Source organism: Homo sapiens, chromosome 19 (assembly GCF_000001405.40).
Source record: "Homo sapiens chromosome 19, GRCh38.p14 Primary Assembly".
In the NCBI taxonomy this organism is placed as follows: Eukaryota; Metazoa; Chordata; class Mammalia; order Primates; family Hominidae; genus Homo; species Homo sapiens.
In genome coordinates this window covers 9,635,079-9,655,261 of record NC_000019.10, presented here as the reverse complement: position 1 = coordinate 9,655,261, position 20,183 = coordinate 9,635,079, and the positions used below count along the sequence as shown (strand labels likewise).

Genomic DNA, 20,183 nt, shown 5'->3' with positions numbered 1-20,183 from the left:
ATCCCAGCACTTTGGGAAGCTGAGGCAGGAGAATTGCTTGAGTCTAGGAGATCAAGACCAGCCTGGGCAACAGGGAGACTCTGTCTCTACAAAAAAATAAAAAATTAGCCGGGCACGTTGGCATGCACCTGTAATCCAGGCTCCTCAGGAGACTGAGGCAGGATGATGGCTTGAGCCTGGGAGTTTAAGGCTGCAGTGAGCTGTGATTGTGCCATGGTACCCAGCCTGGGTGACAGAGTGAGACCCTGTCTCAAACCACCCCCAACAATCAAAAAAAGACAGTTTTTTTTTGAACAATTAGAGCCAGTGGCATAGAATTCTGGCAAGAGATCAAGAGGGTAGGAAATGAAACCATGGAAGAAATATTGTAAAAATTATGGTTATCAAAGTAGGCTGACTTGGTAGCTCATGGCTGTAATCCCAGCAGTTTGGGAGGCTGAGACGGGGGTTTCTTGTAGAGTTTGAGACCAGCCTAGGCTACATACCAAGACCCTGTCTCTATAAAAATAAATTGAGGCCGGGCGCAGTGCCTCATGCCTGTAATTCCAGCACTTTCGGAGGCCTAGGCAGGCGGATGAGAAGGTCAAGAGTTTGAGAACACCCTGGCTAACATGATGAAGTCCCATCTGTAGGAAAAATACAAAAATTAGCTGGGTCTGGTTGCACATGCTAGTTGGCAGGCTGAGGCAGAAGAACCGCTTGAACCCAGGAGGCGGAGGTTGCAGTGAGCCGAAATCGTGACACTGCACTCCAGCCAAAGTGAGACTCCATCTCAAAAATAAATAAAATAAAATAAATAAATAAATCAAAAAATTGGATGATGCATGCCTCTAGTCCTAGCTACACAGCTTTTAGCTAGGGTGATCACTTGAACCCAGCCAGGCGTTTGAGGTTACAGTGAGCCATGATCACTGCAGTGCACTATAGACCAGGCAATGGAGCAAAACCCCAGCTCTGAAAAAAGTAAAACATGTTGTGCATGGTGGGTCACGCCTGTAATCTTACCACTTTGGGAGGCCAAGACAGGCAGTTCACCTGAACTCAGGAGTTTGAGACCAGCCTGGGCAACTTGGCAAAACCCATGTCTACAAAAAAAGTAGAAAAACTCCCCAGTGCAGTAGTGCACACCTGTATTTCCAGCTACTCGGGAGGCTGAGGCAGGAGAATCACTTGAGCCTGGGAGGTGAAGGTTGCAGTTAGCAGAGATTGTGCCACTGCACTGTAGACTGGGAGATAGAACAAGACTCTGTCTCAAAAAAAAAAAAAAAATTAAACATTAAAAAGTAAAATAATTGTCATCAAAATAATGTTTCTGTGTTCAGATGGGTGAAATCTCTTAATATGTCTGAAAACATTTTAAATCCTTTATCCCCTCATCAGCAGACAAGAAGCTACAGTGGATGGAAACTCTGTGAGAATTGTGGAGAGGTCTTCAGTGAACAGTTTTGCCTTAAGACACACATGAGAGCTCAGAATGGAGGGAACACTTTTGAGGGTAATTGTTATGGAAAAGACAGCATCAGTGTGCACAAGGAAGCCTCTATTGGACAAGAACTTTCCAAATTTAATCCATGTGGAAAAGTCTTCACCTTAACTCCAGGCCTTGCTGTGCATCTTGAAATTCTCAATGGAAGACAACCCTACAAATGTAAGGAATGTGGAAAAGGCTTTAAGTATTTTGCAAGCCTTGATAATCACATGGGAATCCACATTGGAGAGAAACTCTGTGAATTTCAGGAATGTGAGAGAGCCATCACAACTTCCTCACACTTAAAGCAGTGTGTAGCAGTTCATACTGGAAAGAAATCCGAAAAGACTAAGAACTGTGGGAAATCCTTCACTAATTTTTCTCAACTTTCTGCACATGCAAAAACTCATAAAGGAGAGAAGTCCTTTGAATGTAAAGAATGTGGAAGATCCTTTAGAAATTCCTCATCCTTTAATGTTCACATTCAAATTCACACTGGAATAAAACCACACAAATGTACGGAATGTGGGAAAGCCTTCACTAGATCAACTCACCTTACTCAACATGTAAGAACTCACACTGGAATAAAACCCTATGAATGTAAGGAATGTGGCCAAGCCTTCACTCAGTACACGGGCCTTGCTATACACATACGAAATCACACTGGAGAGAAACCCTATCAGTGTAAGGAATGTGGGAAAGCCTTCAATAGATCTTCAACGCTTACTCAACATAGAAGAATTCACACAGGAGAGAAGCCTTATGAATGTGTTGAATGTGGGAAGACCTTCATTACTTCTTCCCATCGTAGTAAACATTTGAAAACTCACAGTGGAGAAAGGTAAATGCAAGATATGTGGGAAAGAATTTCTGTATTCCTCACCCCACCTGTGAACTCCTACCAGAGAGAAACCTTTTGTATGTAAAGAATTTGGGAAAGCATTTGCTCTTTCCTCATGCCTAAGTATGCATGAAAGAATTCACACTGGGGAGAAATACTATGAATGTAAGGATATGAGTGTTGTTACCATTTAGCCCATTGGTTGCCATCTTTAATTATTGGCAGTGCAAAGATCATCAGATTAGTCCTAAATGCCTTTTGGAGGTTGTAATGGCTCACAGATTGGCCTTAGATGCATCCCGAGGGTCTGAAATTAAACCTACAGGTTCTGAATACAACATCATGGTTACCTGAGTCTGGGCATCTGTGAAGAAGGGTCATGGATGGTGAGGTCAGTACTGCAGGCTGCCTCACCTTGGTGATTAGATTCCTAAGATCATAGCATTAACAAGTTCTGTACGAGATAAATCATGCAGATTGATCCCAGCCCCTGTTGGTTAGTGGCTGCCAGTGTGGCACATTCATGTCAAAATTTACCAGAAGCCAAGATGATGTAGGCCCCAGAGGTGGATTGTTAAAAAGATGCTCCTCCAAGGTTCTCTTCTGTTCCCATGGATCCTGCAGAGCATGTCAGGAGTGAAACCATCCATAACTGCCAGTGCCCTTTCACAGCTGATTATTTCTATGTCCCCTTCTTGTAAAATAAGAAGTGTGACAACCTTGACTGTTCTGTTCTGTCTTCTCTGTCCATTTTAGGTGGCACAATGTAAGTGGCAGTGTCTCTTATAGTATAATCCAGTCTCTCTTCTCACTTCTGTTAAGATGGCTGATATAGTCCATGAATCCCACTCATGATCTCTTTATCAAATGATTGTTCAGCCACACTTTGAGGATTCTCTTCAGTACAAGTTTTCTAATTTTTGCAGTATGGATAGGCTGAGAATTTTCCAAATCTCCAAGTTCTGGTTCCTTTTTCCTTAACAATTTCTTCTGCAATTCAGGTCTCCTTTTGCATTTTTGCCGAGACCAGCTGGGTCGTGGAGACCCTAACCCAGTGGCTCTAGAGGAATTAAGACAAAGACACAGAAATATAGTGCAGAGTGGGAATCGGGGCTCACAGCCTTCAGAGCTGAGCTTGAACAGAGTTTGACCCACATATTTATTGACAGTAAGCCTGTGATAAACATTATTCCTATAGATTGTAGATCAGCTATAAGTATTCCTTATGAGAAAGAAAGGGACAGGCTCTGGCTTGTTATCTGCAACAGGAATATGTCCTTAAGGCACAAATCACTCATGCTATTGTTTGTGGTTTAGGAATGCCTTGAGCAGTTTTCCAGTTTTCTGCCCTGGGTGGGCCAGGTGTTGCTTGCCCTCATTCTGGTAAACCAGCAGCCTCCAGCATGGGCGTCATAGCCATCACGAGCATGTCACAGTGCTGCAGAGATTTTGTTTATGGCCAGTTTCTCATTGCCTGTTTATGGCCAGATTTGGGGGGCCTGTTCCCAGCACATTTTCCTGTAAGCACTCAGGAATAATGAAGCTTCCTGTGTCCTTTAACACTTTAATTACAGATCTTAGTGATACATACCATTTTATCTGTCTCAAGCTCTACCTTCCGTAAAATGCTAGAATACAGTTCTGCCAAGTTCTTCACCACTTTATATCAAGGGTTGTCTTTTCTTCATTTCCCAATAGCATGTTCCTCATTCCCCAATGACACCTCACCAGAATAACCCTTACCAACCTTATTTCCAGCTTGCACATCAGAATTTTTCCAGCCTCTACTCATTTGTCAGTTTCAAAGCTGCTTCACATTTTTAGTTTTTTTGTTTGTTTTTAATTGCAGTACCTCACTTCTCAGTACCAATATCTGCCTTAGTCAGCTCAGACAACCATAAGAGAATACCGCAGACCAAATGGCTTAGAAATTAATTTAATTTTAAATCAATGAGGTTAAAAACACAGGATTTTTTTTTTTTTTTTTTTTTTTTTTTTGAGATGGAGTTTTGCTCTTGTTGCCCAGGCTGGAGTGCAATGGTATGATCTTGGCTCACCGCAACCTCCACCTCCTGAGTTCCAGTGATTCTCCTGCCTCACCCTCAGTAGCTGGGATTATTGGCATGCACCACAAACCTTAGCTAAGTTTGTATTTTTAGTAGAGACAGGGTTTCTCCATGTTGGTTAGGCTGATCTCCATGTTGGTCAGATCTGACCTTTGGTGATCCACCTGCCTTGGCCTCCCAAAGTGCTGGGATTACAGGCCTGAGCCACCGTATCTGGCCCAAAACACAAATTTATATTCTCACATATCTGGAGGCTGGAAGTCTGAGATCAGAGTGCCAGCATGGTCAACCTCTAGTGAGAGCTCTCTTCCTGGCATGTAAGTGCCCACTTCCTCATGTTTTCACACGATGGAGACCAACAAATAGGTCGGTCGGTCTCCCCCCTCCCCGCCCCCTTCTCTTTTCACATACAGTCACATTGAGGTTTGGAACTTCATATGAAATTTGGGGGGTCACTGTGTGTGTGTGTGTGTGTGTGTGTATGTGTATATATATATACATATATATACACATATGTATGTATACCTAACTCCTAAAGTGGAACAGTAAGAGTCATTATTTATAGATTATCTGATTCTCTATGTGGAAAGAGAAAAGAATCATATTAAGTACTTTGGACTGAACAATGACCCCCAAAATTCGTATGATGATGAAGCTCTCTCTAAATATTTTCTTGCTTTACTGGACTGATTTTAACCCGCTGCACAACACCAACTAAAAGTAGTAATACCAGCATACTTGTCTTTGCAGTTCTGGTGAGATATGCACTCTATTTTGTTGGTTTGGCTGTAGGCTTTTATTTCTTTTTTATTTTTTGAAGAGGTTATGTCCTGTCAGGGAACCAGCCCCGATATTCACATAGGTTCTTTTCTATTTTCCCTAAGTGTCAGCCAACTTGAGAAATAAAGGGACAGAGTACAAAAGAGAGAAATTTTAAAGCTGGGTGTCCGGGGCAGACATCACATGTCGGTAGGTTCCGTGATGCCCCACAAGCCGCAAAAACCAGCAAGTTTTTATTAGGGATTTTCAAAAGGGGAGGGAGTGTGCAAATAGGTGTGGGTCACAGACATCAAGTACTTTACAAGGTAATAGAATATCACAAGGCAAGTGGAGGCAGGGCGAGATCACAGGACCAAGGTGAAATTAAAATTGCTAATGAAGTTTTGGGCACCATTGTCATTGATAACATCTTATCAGGAGACGGTTTTGAGATCAACTGGTCTGACTAAAATTTATTAGGTGGGAATTTCCTCTTCCTAATAAGCCTGGGAGTGCTATGGGAGACTGGGGTCTATTTCACCCCTGCAGTCTCGACCATAAGAGATGGCTACACCCAGGGGGGCCAGTTCAGAGACCCACTCCCAGGTGTGCATTCTCTTTCTCAAGGATGTTCCTTGCTGAGAAAAAGAATTCAGTGATATTTCTCCCATTTGCTTGTGAAAGAAGAGAAATGTGGCTTTGTTCCACCTGGCTCACCGGCGGTCAGAATTTAAGGTTATCTCTCTTGTTTCCTAAACATTGCTGTTATCCTGTTCTTTTTTCAAGGTGCCCAGATTTCATATTGCTCAAACACACATGCTGTATAATTTGTGCAGTTAATGCAATTATTACAGGGTCCTGAGGTAATATACATCCTCCTCAGCTGACAGGATTGAGAGATTAAAGTAAAGACAGGCATAGGAAATCACAAGGGTATTGACTGGGGAAGTGATAAGTGTCCATGAAATCTTTACAATTTATGTTTAGAGATTGCAGTAAAGACAGGCATAAGAAATTATAAAAGTATTAATTTGGGGAACTAATAAATGTCCATGAAACCTTCACAATCCATGTTTTTCTGCCATGGCTTCAGCCAGTCCCCCCGTTTGGGGTCCCTGACTTCCTGCAACAATGTCCTGCAGGAAAAGTTTTTTCTTTATATCCAGTTTTTACATGATGAATTATTTCCCAATATTTCATAGTTTATGAGGCTGAATTCCTCTTGAATTTATTAAATGCTTCCTTCACATCCTCTGTGATGATCATGTTTATTTACTGATAAAACTCAATACCTAGAACTGCACCTAGCTCATGATGGTACCTAATAAATACTTCAATGAAATGATGTGGTGATGCATGCCTATAGTTTTAGCTACTTGGGAGGGTGGCCTGAGCCCAGGGGTTCTAGACCAGCTTAGGCAACATAGCAAGACCCCATCTCAAAAAAAAAAACAAAAACAAAACAAAAAAAAAACTTGAAGAAGTGAATGCATGGAAAGGCGCTTTTCTAAAACAAATGTGGTCAGGCTGGGTGTGGGGGCTTATGCCTGTAATCCCAGCAATTTGGGAGGTGGGGGTGGGCAGATCATTTGAGGTCAAGAGTTCGAGACCAGCCCAGCCAACATGGTGAAACCCCATCTCTACTAACAATACAAAAATTAGCTGGGTGTGGTGATGTGCACCTGTAATCCCAGCTACTTGGGAGGCTGAAGCAGGAGAATCACTTGAACCTGGGAGGTGGAGGTTGCATTGAGCCAAGATTGCACCACTGCACTCCATGCTGGGTGACAGGGTGCGACTCTGTCAAAAATAAATAAATTAAATTAAATAAATGTGGTATTTGTATTTATTGCTTTTCCAATGTTACATCAACCTTGTATTCCTGGATAAGCTCGACTGTGACATAATGGATCACTTAAAAATACTTCATGACCTTTACTAATATGTTATGGAGCTATGTTTGAATAACATTGTGATTTTTAAAAAATTGTCCCTTAATGATATTTGTATATAATGACTGTCATATACTGTAGTGGGGCATGTTCCTACTATTTCTAAATTCTTAATCTATAAGAGTCATCTAGGTTGGGAATAGTGGCTCAGGCCTGTAATCCCAGCACTTTTGGAGGCTGAGGCAAAAAGATCCCTTGAGCCAAGGAGTTCAAACCAGCCTGGGCAACATAGCGAAACCACATCTCTATTTAAAAATACTACAAGATATTTTCATTTTTTTGGTTTGTTTCTTTGTTTTTGAGTTGGTGTTTGTTTCTTTGTTTTTGAGTTAGTGTTTCACTCGTTGCCCAGGCTGGAGTGCAATGGTGTGATCTCAACTTACTGCAAATTCCACCTCCTGGGTTCCAGTGGTTCTCCTGCCTCAGCCTCCCGAGTAGCTGAGATTACAGACAGCCTCCACCTTGCCTGGCTGATTTTTGTATTTTTAGTAGAGACGGTTTCATCAAGTTGGCCAGGCTGGTCTCAAACTCCTGACCTCAGGTGATCTGCATGCCTCATACTCCCAAAGTACTGGGATTACAGGCACAAGCCACTGTGCCCGGCCAATACTGCAAAATATTTTAAAAAGTTAAAATTATCTCTTCTGGCTGGTCATAGTGGCTCACACTTTTAATCCCAGCACACTGGGAAGCTCAGTCAGAAGGATTCCTTGAGGCCAGGAGTTCAAGATCAGTCTGGGCAACACAGACCCCATATCTCCAAAAAAATAAAAATAAATAAATAAAACAGTTATCAGGCTGGGAGTGGTGGCTCATGCCTGTAATCCCACCACTTTGGGAGGCTGAGGCAGGCAGATCATGAGGTCAAGAGATCAAGACCATCCTGGCCAACATGTTGAAACCCCGTCTTTACTAAAAATACAAAAATTAGCTGGGCACGGTATTGTGCCCCTGTAATCCCAGCTACTCAGGAGGCTGAGGCAGGAGAATCTCTTGAACCCCTGAAGTGGAGGTTTCAATGAGCCTAGATCACACCACTGCACTCCAGCCTGACGACAGAGCGAGAATCCGTCTCAAAAAAAAAAAAAAAGACAACTAGGTTGGGCACGGTGCTTCACGGCTTTAATCACAGCACTTTGGGAGGTCAAGGCAGGGGGTCACCTGAGGTCAGGAGTTCGAGACCAGCCTGGCCAATGCGGTGAAACTTTTGTCTCTACTAAAAATTCAAAAAATAAAATTAGCCAGGTGAGTTGGCGGGCGCCTGTAATCCCAGCCGCTTGGGAGGCTGAGGCAGGAGAATTGCTTGAATCTGGGAGGCGAAGGTTGCAGTGAGTTGAGTTCTTGCCACTGCACTCCAGCCTGGGTGACAAGAGCAAAACTCCATCTCATAAAAAAAAAAAAAAAAAGACAACTAAGGCTTGCATAAGTATTTTGAGAATATTCTTCTAGGCATGTTTTTATTTCCAAATGTGTAGCAAAAATTTATACTTTTTATATTTTTCATTTTTGCTGGTTGTATAACTTCAGTCTCCTTTTGCATTCTGGAATAACTTATTAATTGTGCATTCTTTCCCTTTGCTTGTGTTAATCTTGGTAGAGAGTACCCAGGTTTATGAATTCTTTCAGATATTTCGCTTGAAAAATCTACACTATTTCTTGCATGTTTTCTGTTCCACTAATTCTGTTAGATATTTATATAGTTACATCAGCTTGATTTTCCTCTACTTCTTAGTCTTTCTGTATGCTTTTTAAAAAAATGTGTCTTTTTATACATACTTTAGCTGGAGTTTTAAAAAATCTGTATACCGCTGGGCATAGTGGCTGATGTCTGTAATCACAGCACTTTGGGAGGCCAAGGCAGGTGATCACCTGAGGTCGGGAGTTCGAGACCAGCCTGACCAACACTGAGAAACCCCATCTCTACTAAAAATACAAAATTAGCTGTGCCTAGTGGTGCATGCCTGTAATGCCAGCTACTTGGGAGGCTGAGGCAGGAGAATCATTTGAACCCGGGAGGCAGAGGTTGCAGTGAGCCGAGATCACGCCATTGCACTGCAGCCTGGGCAACAAGAGTGAAACTCTGTCACAAAAAAAAAAAAAAAAAGAAAAAATACTTGAATAATACCAATTAACAATCCTTTTATGTTGCACATTTAGTGCCTGACATTTAATTAGTAATAATTTGGATTAATTTCTAGCATCTAATTTTTTTTGTTTGTTTCATTGTGTTCCCCTCTTTGTACTGATGTGTATTGATCATACCTTTAATTTATTTTATTCTTGATGTTTGAAATTTGTATGTTACTTTTCGTTGTTACCATAAATAACAATTTTAAATATAAGTCTTCCTTAATACCTTTTCTTTCTAACTAAGTGCACTACACTGTTTGAATAAAGTGATTCCCATATACACTTACTACACTTGGAGAGAGACCCAGAAGGAAGTGCATTGTCACACAAGCTATTAGACAGATCTGGTGGCAGAAAGAATAGGCTCCTTGACAGAGGCCCAGTGACACCCTGTGGTAGATTACAGATGTCTTGAGATTACTCTCTGAAGGTGCAATCTCTCTCCTTTTTATGTGAGCCAGTCCTTGCTTTGACCAGTAGAAACCAGCACAACTTTGGTTTGCAAGTCCATCCTCAAGAGGCTTCTGCTAATTAAGTAGCTGCTGTTTTCAGCTAGTAATTTTTGTGGCTGTTTATTACACAGTAAAGGCCAACTGATACACATACCCCTTTGCCCACAAGCCAATAAACTGTGGTTCTTCAGGACCCACTGGGAAATCCTCCAGAACCAGGCCCACTCGTGTTAGCAGTAAAGAATTCTGGGCCAGGCACAGTGGCTCATGCCTTTAAACCCAGCACTTTGGGAGGCTGAGATGGTTGGATCACGAGGCCAAGAGATTGAGACCATTTTGGGCAACATGGTGAACCCCCATCTCTACTAAAAATACAAAAATTAGCTGGGTGTGGTGGCACTCACCTGTAGTCCCAGCTACTTGGGGGCTGAGATGGGAGAATCACTTCAACCTGGGAGGTGGAGGTTACAGTGAGCTGATATTGCGCCACGGCACTCCAGCCTGGTGACAGTGTGAGACTCTGTCTCAAAAAAAAAAAAAAAATTCTGTCAATGTTCACAGAGAGACTGGGCATCTCCCACTATGAGCTGCAATGAGAAAATCAAGATTTGAATTCGTATTCCTCTGCTTAGGGACTCAGGAGGCCGGAAGTCAGCAGGACTGAAGGCCCAAAGAAACAGTTGATGTTATGAGCTGCAAGCAAGTTGCCAGCTGATATGGTTTGGCTGTGTCCCCACCCAAATGTCATCTTGAATTGTAGCTCCCATAATCCCCATGGTGTCGAGGGAGAGACCAGGTGGGAGGTAATAGAATCATGGGGGGGGGTTTCCCCATGCTGTTCAAGTAATTCTCATGCCTCAGTCAGCCAAGTAGCTGGGATAATAGGCGTGTGCTGTTTTTGTCACAGTGAGTAAATCTCATGAGGTCTGTCAGTTTTATAAGCAGCTGTTCCCCTGGACAGGCTCTCTTGCCTTCTGCCATATAAGATGTGCCTTTGCTCCTCCTTCACCTTCTGTCATGATTTTGAGGCCTCCCCAGCCATGTGGAACTGTGAGTCCATTAAACCTCTTTTTCTTCATAACTTACCCAGTCTCGGCCAGGCACGGTGGCTCACACTGTAACAACAACAAGGAACACAGCACCTAAACTCACACTTTTTTATTTTGGTAGAGAAGGTATCTCACTCCATTGCCCAGGCTGTCCTCAAACTCCTGAGCTAGAGTAATCCTCTCTTCTGGGCCTCCCAAAGTGCTGGGATTACAAGCATGAGCCACCATGCCCAGCCAGACATCTTTACATGACATTTTCAAGGTCCAATTGGTCCTAATTCTCCATAAATCCTTTCAGAGTATTAACAATGAAGCAAATCTTGCTAAATCTTTTTATGATGCAGTACAAGATGTATATATGTATCGTTTTTATCACTGATAAAAACAGTACAGTCATTAAAAACTACAGAATTATATTGGTAATGAATATTGGTACAAATTCACTAAGTAAGCCAGGTACGGTGGCTCACATGCCTGTAATCCCAGCACTTTGGGAGGCTGAGGCAGGTGGATCACAAGGTCAGATTGAGATGATCCTGGCTAAAACGGTGAAACCTTGTATCTACTAAAACTAAAAAAATATAGCTGGGCGTGGTGGCATGTGCATGTATTCCTAGCTACTCGGGAGGCTGAGGCAGGAGGTTACAGTGAACCGAGATCACACCACTGCACTCCAGCCTGGGATACAGAGTAAGACTGTCTCAAAAAACAAACAAACAAAAAAATGCGCTAAGTATAATAGTAGCAACTGGGCAAAGTGGCTTATGCCTGGAGTCTCAACACTTTGAAAGGAGGCAAAAGGATTACTTGAGCTCAGGAGTTCGAGACCTGCCTGGACAGCATAGCAAGCCCCCCATCTACAAAAAACTTAAAAATTAAAAAATGCAGTGAGCCAAGATCATGCCACTGCATTCCAGCCTGGGCAACAGAGCAAGACTCCATTTAAAAAAAAAAAAAAAAGAAGGAAAAAAGGAAGCTAGGAAGGAACGGATTAGCAAATAAATTCCAACTGCTTGATAAGAAAATAGTAAACCCAGTGGCATTTACTGCAGGAATATAAGGTTGGCTCTGGCTCATTCGTATCTTTGTATTTGTGCATTCATCATTATGGATGATGCCTGGAATTTGCCCAGAGGGATGCTCAAGACCCTTTCAGACACATTTTTTTTTTCTAAACTTATTTATTTATGAATGACAGAGTCTCGCTCTGTCACCCAGGCTGGAGTGCAGTGGCGTGATCTCAGCTCACTGCAACCTCCAATTCCTGGGTTCAAGTGATTCTCCTGCCTCAGCCTCCCAAGTACCTGGGATTACAGGTGTGCACCACCACACCCAGCTAATTTTTGTATTTTCAGTAGAGGCGGGGTTTTGCCATGTTGGCCAGGATGGTCTTGAACTCCTGAGACCCCCCTGATTCAGCCTGATTCAACCTCCCAAAGTGCTGGGATTACAGGAATGAGCCACAGTGGCCGGTGGTGTTCTTTTTTTTTTTTTTTTTTTCCAGAGACAGTGTCTTGCCATGTCACCTAGGCTGGAGTGCAGTGGTGCAATCATAGCTCACTGCAGCCTCGACCTCCTGGGCTCAAGCAATCCTCTCACCTCAGCCTTCTGAGTAGCTGGGAATGCAGGCATGTACCACCAGGCCCGGCTAATTTTTTTATTTTTAAATTTTTTTTTTTTTGGTCGAGACTGTGTCTCACTATATTGCCCAGGCTGGTCTTGAAATCCTGTTCAAGTTATCCTTCTGCATCAGCCTCCCAAAATGCTAGGATGACAGGGTTGAGCCACTGTGCCTGGCCTCTATTTCTAATGTCTAGGCAGCAACTGTTGTTGTGTTGTTCCTGTTACATAGTCTTATTACCCATTTGATACAAAGTTCAGATTGATTGTTCCTGTTCGTATTCCATTTTGGGTTTTCCCTCTATCTTTGTTGATTTTTTAAAAAATTAAATATGTAAAAGAATAAAGGGCCAAGCAGAGTGGCTCACAGTTGTAATGCCAACAATGTGGGAGGCCAAGGAAGGATGATCGCTTGAGCTCAGGAGTTTGAGGGCAGCCTAGGCAACATAGAGAGATCTCTTCTCTACAAAATATATTTTTAAAAATTAGCTGGATGTGGTGGTGCACGTATGTAGTCCCTGGTACTCAGGCAAAGGACTGCTTGAGCCCAGGAAGTAAAGGCTGCAGTGAGCCATGATAATGCCACTATACTTCAGCCTGTGTGACAGAGTGAAACCCTGTTTTTTTTTTTTTTTTTAAAGAAAAAAAAGAATGTAATTTTAAACATCAGAACTGTAAGGTACTCTGAGCTGGCCATACCATGGTCAAGCCATTGTGACATCCCCCCGCCCTTGTGATAATGTACTTTGTGATATTCCCCTGCCCTTGTGAATGTACTTTATAAGATACATCCTCCCCCACCTAGTGAATGTACCCTGCCATTGGCCCTTGTGACAGTACACCTTTCCTCTCCTTGTAAATGTACTTTGTAACCTTCCTCCCCACCCTTGTGATGATACACCCTCCCCGCCCTTGTGAATGTACTTTGTAACATCCTCCCCGCCCTTGAGAATGTACTTTGTAACGTCCACCCCACTGCCTACAAAAAAAATTGCTCCTAACTCCACCGCTTATCCCAAACCTATGAGAACTAATGATAATCCCACCACCCTTTGCTGACTGTTTTGTTGGACAGCCCATCCACATCCGGATGTAATACACAGCCATTGTTGCTCGCACAAAGCCTGCTAGGTGCTCTCTTTACTCAGACGCATGTAACATTTTGTGCTGAAACCTGGGACATTAGAACTCCTCAGGAGACCCATCCCCTGTCATTACACTCCCTCCATGAGGAGATCCACCTATGACCTCGGGTCATCAGACCAGCCAGCCCAAGGATCGTCTCACTAATTTCAAATCGGTAAGCGGTTTTTTTGCACTTGGATAAGCGGTTTTTTTGCTCTCTACCTAACCTCTCTCACCTCCCTTCAATCTCTCTTCTTTCAGTTTCAGTTTCTCTCCCTTCCTAGTAGAGACAAAAAGCAGACACATTTTATCCGTGCATCCAAAGACTCCGATGTTGGTCATGGACTTGGGAAGACAGTCTTCCCTTGGCGTTTGATCACTGCGGAGATGCCTTCCTTGATCATTCACCCACATTCCCTTGATGGCAGGTCAATTGCAGGGATGCCTGCTTTGGCTGCTCACCCACATTAAAGCCCAGGACTCAGTCAGGGATGCCTACTGGAAGACTGGTAGCTGCCCACCTCCATTTCTCCATGTGTCTACCTTCCTCTTTAAACTTACCTTCTCCACTAAGGGCAACCTTCTGCATTCCATTCCTCTCTCTTCCCCCTTAGCCTGTGTTCTTAGAAACCTAACACCCCTTTGACTAACACCTGACCTAAAACCTGAACGTCTTGTTTTCTTCTGTAATACCACTTGGCCCCAATACAAACTTGACAGTTTTTCCAAGTGGCCAGAGAAAGGCACTTTTGATTTGTCTATCCTACAAGACCTAGATAATTTTTGTTGAAAATTGGGCAAATGGTCTGAGATGCCTGATGTCCAGGCATTTTTTACACTTTACTCCCTCCCTAGTTTCTGCTCCCAATGAGACTTGTCCCAGATTTTCCTTCTTTCTCTCCCGTCTGCTTCTTTGTTCTCCACCCCAAGCTCAGAGTCCTCTGAATCCTCCTTTTCCACTGACCCCTCTGACCTCTCTCCTCCTCCCCCAGCTGCTCCTCGCCAGGCTGAATTGGGTCCCAATTCTTCTGCAGCCTCTGCTACCCCACCCTATAACGCTTCTATTACCTCCCCTCCTCACACCCTGTCTGGCTTATAGTTTTGTTCTGTGACTAGCTCTCCCCCACATGCCCAAAAATTTCCTCTTAGGTGGCTGGAGCTGAAGGCATAGTGAGGGTACATGTGCCTTTTTCTCTATCAGACCTTTCCCAAATGAGCCAGCATTTAGACTCTTTCTCATAGGACCCCACTAAATATATACAGGAATTCCAATATCTAACTCAGTCCTACAACTTAACCTGGAGTGACTTAAATGTCATCCTGACCTTTACCCCCTTCCCAGACGAACGAGAAAGAGTTTATTTTCTAGCCCAGTCCTACAAAGACACCCACTGGCTTCATGAGCCAGACCTCCAAGAGGGCACCAGGGCAATTCCCTGAGAGGATCCCCATTGGCAATACCAGACGGAATCCCCAGGTATAGCTAGGCAAGATTACATGGTCTCCTGCATAGTTGAGGGGCTCAAAAAGGCAGCATACAGTGCTGTTAATTATGACAAGCTAAAGAAAACTACCCAATGTAAAGACGAAAACCCAGCCCAGTTTATGGCCCAATTAGCAGTTACCTTTAGATGCTTTACAGCCCTAGACCCATGGGGGACAGAAGGCCCCCTTATCATTAATATGCATTTTATCACCCAATCCACTCCTAACATTAGAAAAAGAACTCCAAAAATTGGATTCCAGCCCTCAAGCCCCACAACAGGATTTAATCAACCTCGCCTTCAAGGTGTTCAGTAACCAAGAAAAAGCTGCCAAGTGCCACCATATCTTGGGATTCTTTGTAAGCCGTGCCCTGTCTGTGAGGGCCCCCACTGGAAGTCAGACTCTCTGACTCACATGACCACCACTCCTAAAGCTCCTGGAGCTCAAATCCAACGTTCCTTAGCTGACTCCTTCCCAGATCTCCTTGGCTTAGCGGCTGAAGACTGATGCTGCCCAATCATCTCAGAAGCCCCCTGGACCATGATGGACACCAAGCTTTGGGTAACTCTTACAGTGGAGGTTAAGTCCATCCCCTGTTTAATTGATATGGGGGATACCCGCTCCACTTTACCTTCTTCTCAGGGGCCTGTTTCCCTTGCCCCTGTAACTGTTGTGGGTATTGATGGCTAGGCTTCTAGACCCCTTAAAACTCCCCAACTCTGGTGCCAACTTGGACAATATTCTTTTATGCACTCTTTTTTAGTTATCCCTACCTGCCCAGTTCCCTTATCAGGCTGAGACATTTTAACTAAATTATCTGCTTCCTTGACTATTCCTGGACTATAGCCACACCTCATTGCTGTCCTTATGCCTGATTCCAAGCCTCTTTTGCATCCTCGTCTCATGTCTCCCTACCTTAATCCACAGGTATGGGATACCACTATGCCCTCCTTGGTGACTGATCAGGCACCCCTTACCATCCCATTAAAACCTAATCACCCTTACCCCACTCAACACCAGTACTCCATCCCACAACAGGCTTTAAAAGGACTAAAGCCTGCTATCACTCTCCTGTTACAGCATGGCCTTTTAAAGCCTACAAATTCTTACAACTCCCCTATCCTACCTGTCCAGAAACCAGACAAATCTTACAGGTTGGTTCAGGATCTTTGCTTTATTAACCAAATTGTCTAACCTATCCATCCGTGGTGCCAAACCCATATACTCTCCTATCCTCAATACCTCCCTCAACAACTCATTATTCTGTCCTCAACCTCAAAGATGCTTTCTTCACTATTCCTTTGCACCCCTCATCCCGACCTCTTTTTGCTTTCACATGGACTGATCCTGTCACCCACCAATCTCAGCAACTTACCTGGACTGTACTGCCACAAGGCTTCAGAGACAACCCCCATTACTTTAGTCAAGCTCTTTCTCATGATTTACTTTCTTTCTGTCCATCTGTTTCTCACCTTATTCAATATGTGGACGACCTTCTCCTCTGCATCCCCTCTTATGAATCTTCCCAACAGGATACCCTCCTGCTCCTTCAACATCTATTCTCAAAGGGGAATCATGTATCCCCCTCTAAAGCCCAAATTTCTTCTCCATCCATTACCTATCTTGGCATAGTCTGTCATCAAAACACACGTGTTCTCCCTGCTAACTGGGTCCAGCTAATCTCTGAAACCCCAACCCCTTCTACAAAGCAACAACTCCTTTCCTTCCTAGGCATGGTTGGATACTTTTGCCTTTGGATACCAGGTTTTGCCATCCTAACTAAACCCCTACATAAACTCATAAAGGGAAACCTGACCAACCCCATAGAACCTAAGTTTTTCCCACCCTTCTTTTCATTCCTTAAAGACAGCCCTAGAAATAGTTCCCACATTAGCACTCCCTAACTCATCCCAATACTTCTCCTTATGTACGGCTGAAATACAAGGCTGTGTGGTTGGAGTTCTTACAGAGGAACCAGACCCACAGCCTGTAGCCTTCCTATCCAAGCAACTTAACTTCACAGTTCTAGGCTGGTCCTCATGTCTATGTGTGCTGGCAGCCACCACTTCAATACTTTCAGAGGCCCTCAAGATCACAAACCATGCCCCACTTACTCTACAGTTCTCATAATTTTCAAAATCTATTTTCCTCCTCACACTTGGTGCATATACTTTCTGCCCCCACACTCCTCCAACTGTACTCACTATTCATTGAAACTCCCACAATTACCATTGTTCCTGGCACAGACTTCAACTCGGCCTCTCACCTTATACCTAGCACCAAACCTGAACCTCATGACTGTATCTCTCTAATCCATATGGCATCCTCCACATTTCCCCATATTTCCCTCTTTCTTGTTGCTAATCCAGACCACACTTGGTTTATTGATGGTAGTTCAAGGCCAAATCGTCGGTCACCAACAAGGGCAGGCTATGCTGTATTGTCTTCCACATCGGTCACTGAAGCTACTGCCCTGCACCCTTCCATTACCTCTCAACAAGCCAAACTCATTGCTTTAACTGGGGCTCTCACCCTTGTAAAGGGACTATGTGTCAATATCTACACTGATTCCAAGTATGCCTTCCACATCCTACATCACCATGCTATTATATGGGCAGGAAAAGGTTTTCTCATGACACAAGGGTCCTCCATCATCAATGCTTCCTTAATAAAAATCCTCCTTAAGGCTGCTCTACTGCCCAAGGAAGCCAGAGTCATTCACTGCAAGGGGCCTCAGAGGTCACCAGATCCCACTGCTCAAGGCAAAGCTTATGCTGATAATGCAGCAAAAGAAGCAGCTAGTATTCCCACATCTGTCCCTCATGGCCATTTTTTTTCCTTCTCATCTATCACTTCCACCTATACTCCCACTAAAACTATGACCTATCAATCCCTTCCTACTCAAGGCAAATGGTTCTTGGATCAAGGAAAATTCCTCCTTCCTGCCTCACAGTCTCATTCTATCTTATCGTCCTTTCATAACCTCTTTCATGTTGGTTACAAGCCAATGGCCCATCTCTTAGAACCTCCCATTTCTTTTCCATCATGGAAATCCATTCTCAGGGAAATTACTTCTCGGTGTTCCATCTGTTACTCTACCACCCCTCAGGGATATCTTAGGCCCCCTCCCTTTCCTACACATCAAGCTCAATGATTTGCCCCCACCCAAGACTGGCAGATTGACTTTACTCATATGCCCTGAGTCAAAAAACTAACATACCTTTTTGTCTGGGTAGATACATTCACTGGATGCATAGAGGCCTTTCCCACAGGGTCTGAGAAGGCCACCATGGTCATTTCTTCCCTTCTGTCAGACATAATTCCTCGGTTTGGCCTTCCCACCTCTATAGAGTCCAATAACAGACTGGCCTTCATTAGTCAGATCACACAAGCCATCTCCCAGGCCCTCGGCATCCAGTGGAACCTCCATTCCCCTTACCATCCTCAATCTTTGGGAAAGGTAGAAAGAACTAATAGTCTGTTAAAAACACACCTCACCAAGCTCAGTCTCCAACTTAAAAAAGACTGGACAGTACTGTTACCATTTGCCCTCTTTAGAATTAGAGCCTATCCTCAAGAAGCTACAGGGTATAGTCCATTTGAAGTTTTATATGGACATACCTTCTTGTTAGGCCCCAACCTCTTGCCAGACACCAGCCCTCTAGGTGACTATCTTCCAGTCCTCCAGCAGGCTAGACAGGAAATTCGCCAGGCTGCTAATCTTCTCTTGCCTACTCCAGATTCCCAGCCATATGAAGACGCCCTAGCTGGACAATCAGTTCTTGTTAAGAATTTGACCCCTCAAACTCTACAACCTCAATGGACCAGACCCTACTTAGTCATCTATAGTACCCCACCTGCAGTCCACCTGCATTATTAACATAAAAAGGCAGGAATGTAAGGTCCTCTGAGCTGGCCGCATCATGATCAAGCCATCGTGACATCCCCCTGCCCTTGTGATAATGTACTTTGTGATATTCCCCCACCCTTCTGAATGTACTTTGTAGGATACATCCTCCCTGCCCTTGTGAATGTACCCCACCCTTGTGACAATACACCCTCCCCACCCTTGTCAATGTACTTTGTAACATCCTCCCCGCCCTTGAGAATGTACTTTGTAACATCCACCTCCTGCCTGCAAAAAAAATTGCTCCTAATTCCACTACCTATCCCAAACCTATAAGAACTAATGATAATCCCACCACCTTTTGCTGACTGTTTTGTCAGACTCAGCCCGTCCACACCCGGATGTAATACACAGCCATTGTTGCTCACTCAAAGACTGCTTGGTGGTCTCTTTACTTGGACATGCGTAATAAGAACTAACAGAATGTTATGCTCAGAGAGCTCAGAGAGGTTTCCCTTTCCCTATCCTCTACATCTTGTTTTTGTTTTTGTTTTGGGACAGAGTCTTGCTCTGTTGCCCAGGCTGGAGTGCAATGGCACAATCTCAGCTCACTGCAACCTTCACCTTCTGGGTTCAAGTGATTCTCCTGCCTCAGCCTCCTGAGTAGCTGGGACTACAGGCATGCACCACCGCACCTGGCTAATGTTTGAATTTTTAGTAGAGACAGGGTTTCACCATGTTGGCCAGGATGGTCTTGATCTCTTGATTTCATGATCCGCCCGCCTTAGCCTCTCAAAGTGCTGGGATTACAGGCATGAGCCACCACGCCCAGCCTCCATCTTGTTCTTACCCCACCATTCTGTTCTAGCTGTTCCCATCCATCCCCAATAGATTCTGAATCTTATTATTTTCAGAATAATCCTATCAGTGTTTCCCTATACTCAGAATAAACAGATAATTATGTATTTTCTTTTTCTTTTCTTTTTTTTTTTTTTTTTTTGAGATGGAGTCTCACTCTGTGGCCCAGGCTGGAGTGCAGTGGCATGATCTTGGCTCACTGCAACCTCTGCCACCCAGGTTTAAGCAATTATCCTGCCTCAGCCTCCCAAGTAGCTGGGATTACAGGCGCCTGCCACTGTGCCCAGCTAATTTTTGTATTTTTAGTAGAGACGGGGTTTCACCATCTTGGCCAGGCTGGTTTTGAACTCCTGACCTTGTGATCCACCTGCCTCAGCCTCCCAAAGTGCTGGGATTAGAGGGGTGAGCCACAGCACCTGGCCTTTATTTTCATTTTTTTATTTGTATTATTATTATTATTATTATTGTTTTTGAGACCGAGTCTCACTCTATCACCCAGGCTGGAGTGCAGTGCTGTGATCTCGGCTCACT

The 20,183-nt window shown here is 43.9% G+C and overlaps 1 protein-coding gene across 8 annotated transcripts in view; it reads left to right on the top strand.

Moving 5' to 3' along the window:
- ZNF562 (zinc finger protein 562) overlaps window positions 1-13,455 on the top strand; it is a 33,294-nt gene extending 19,839 nt beyond the window's left edge. For 5 of the 8 annotated variants that reach the window (NM_001300885.2, XM_047438996.1, XM_047438995.1 and 2 more), the window contains one exon: window positions 1,384-6,608. In NM_001300885.2, the coding sequence (NP_001287814.1) occupies window positions 1,384-2,313 (930 nt within the window). In that variant the 3' untranslated portion in view covers window positions 2,314-6,608. Of the gene's footprint in view, window positions 1-1,380 lie in introns of all 8 variants that reach the window. The other 3 variants (NM_001130032.2, NM_017656.4, NM_001130031.2) reach the window with 1 other exon arrangement.
- Window positions 13,456-20,183: the final 6,728 nt, after the last annotated feature.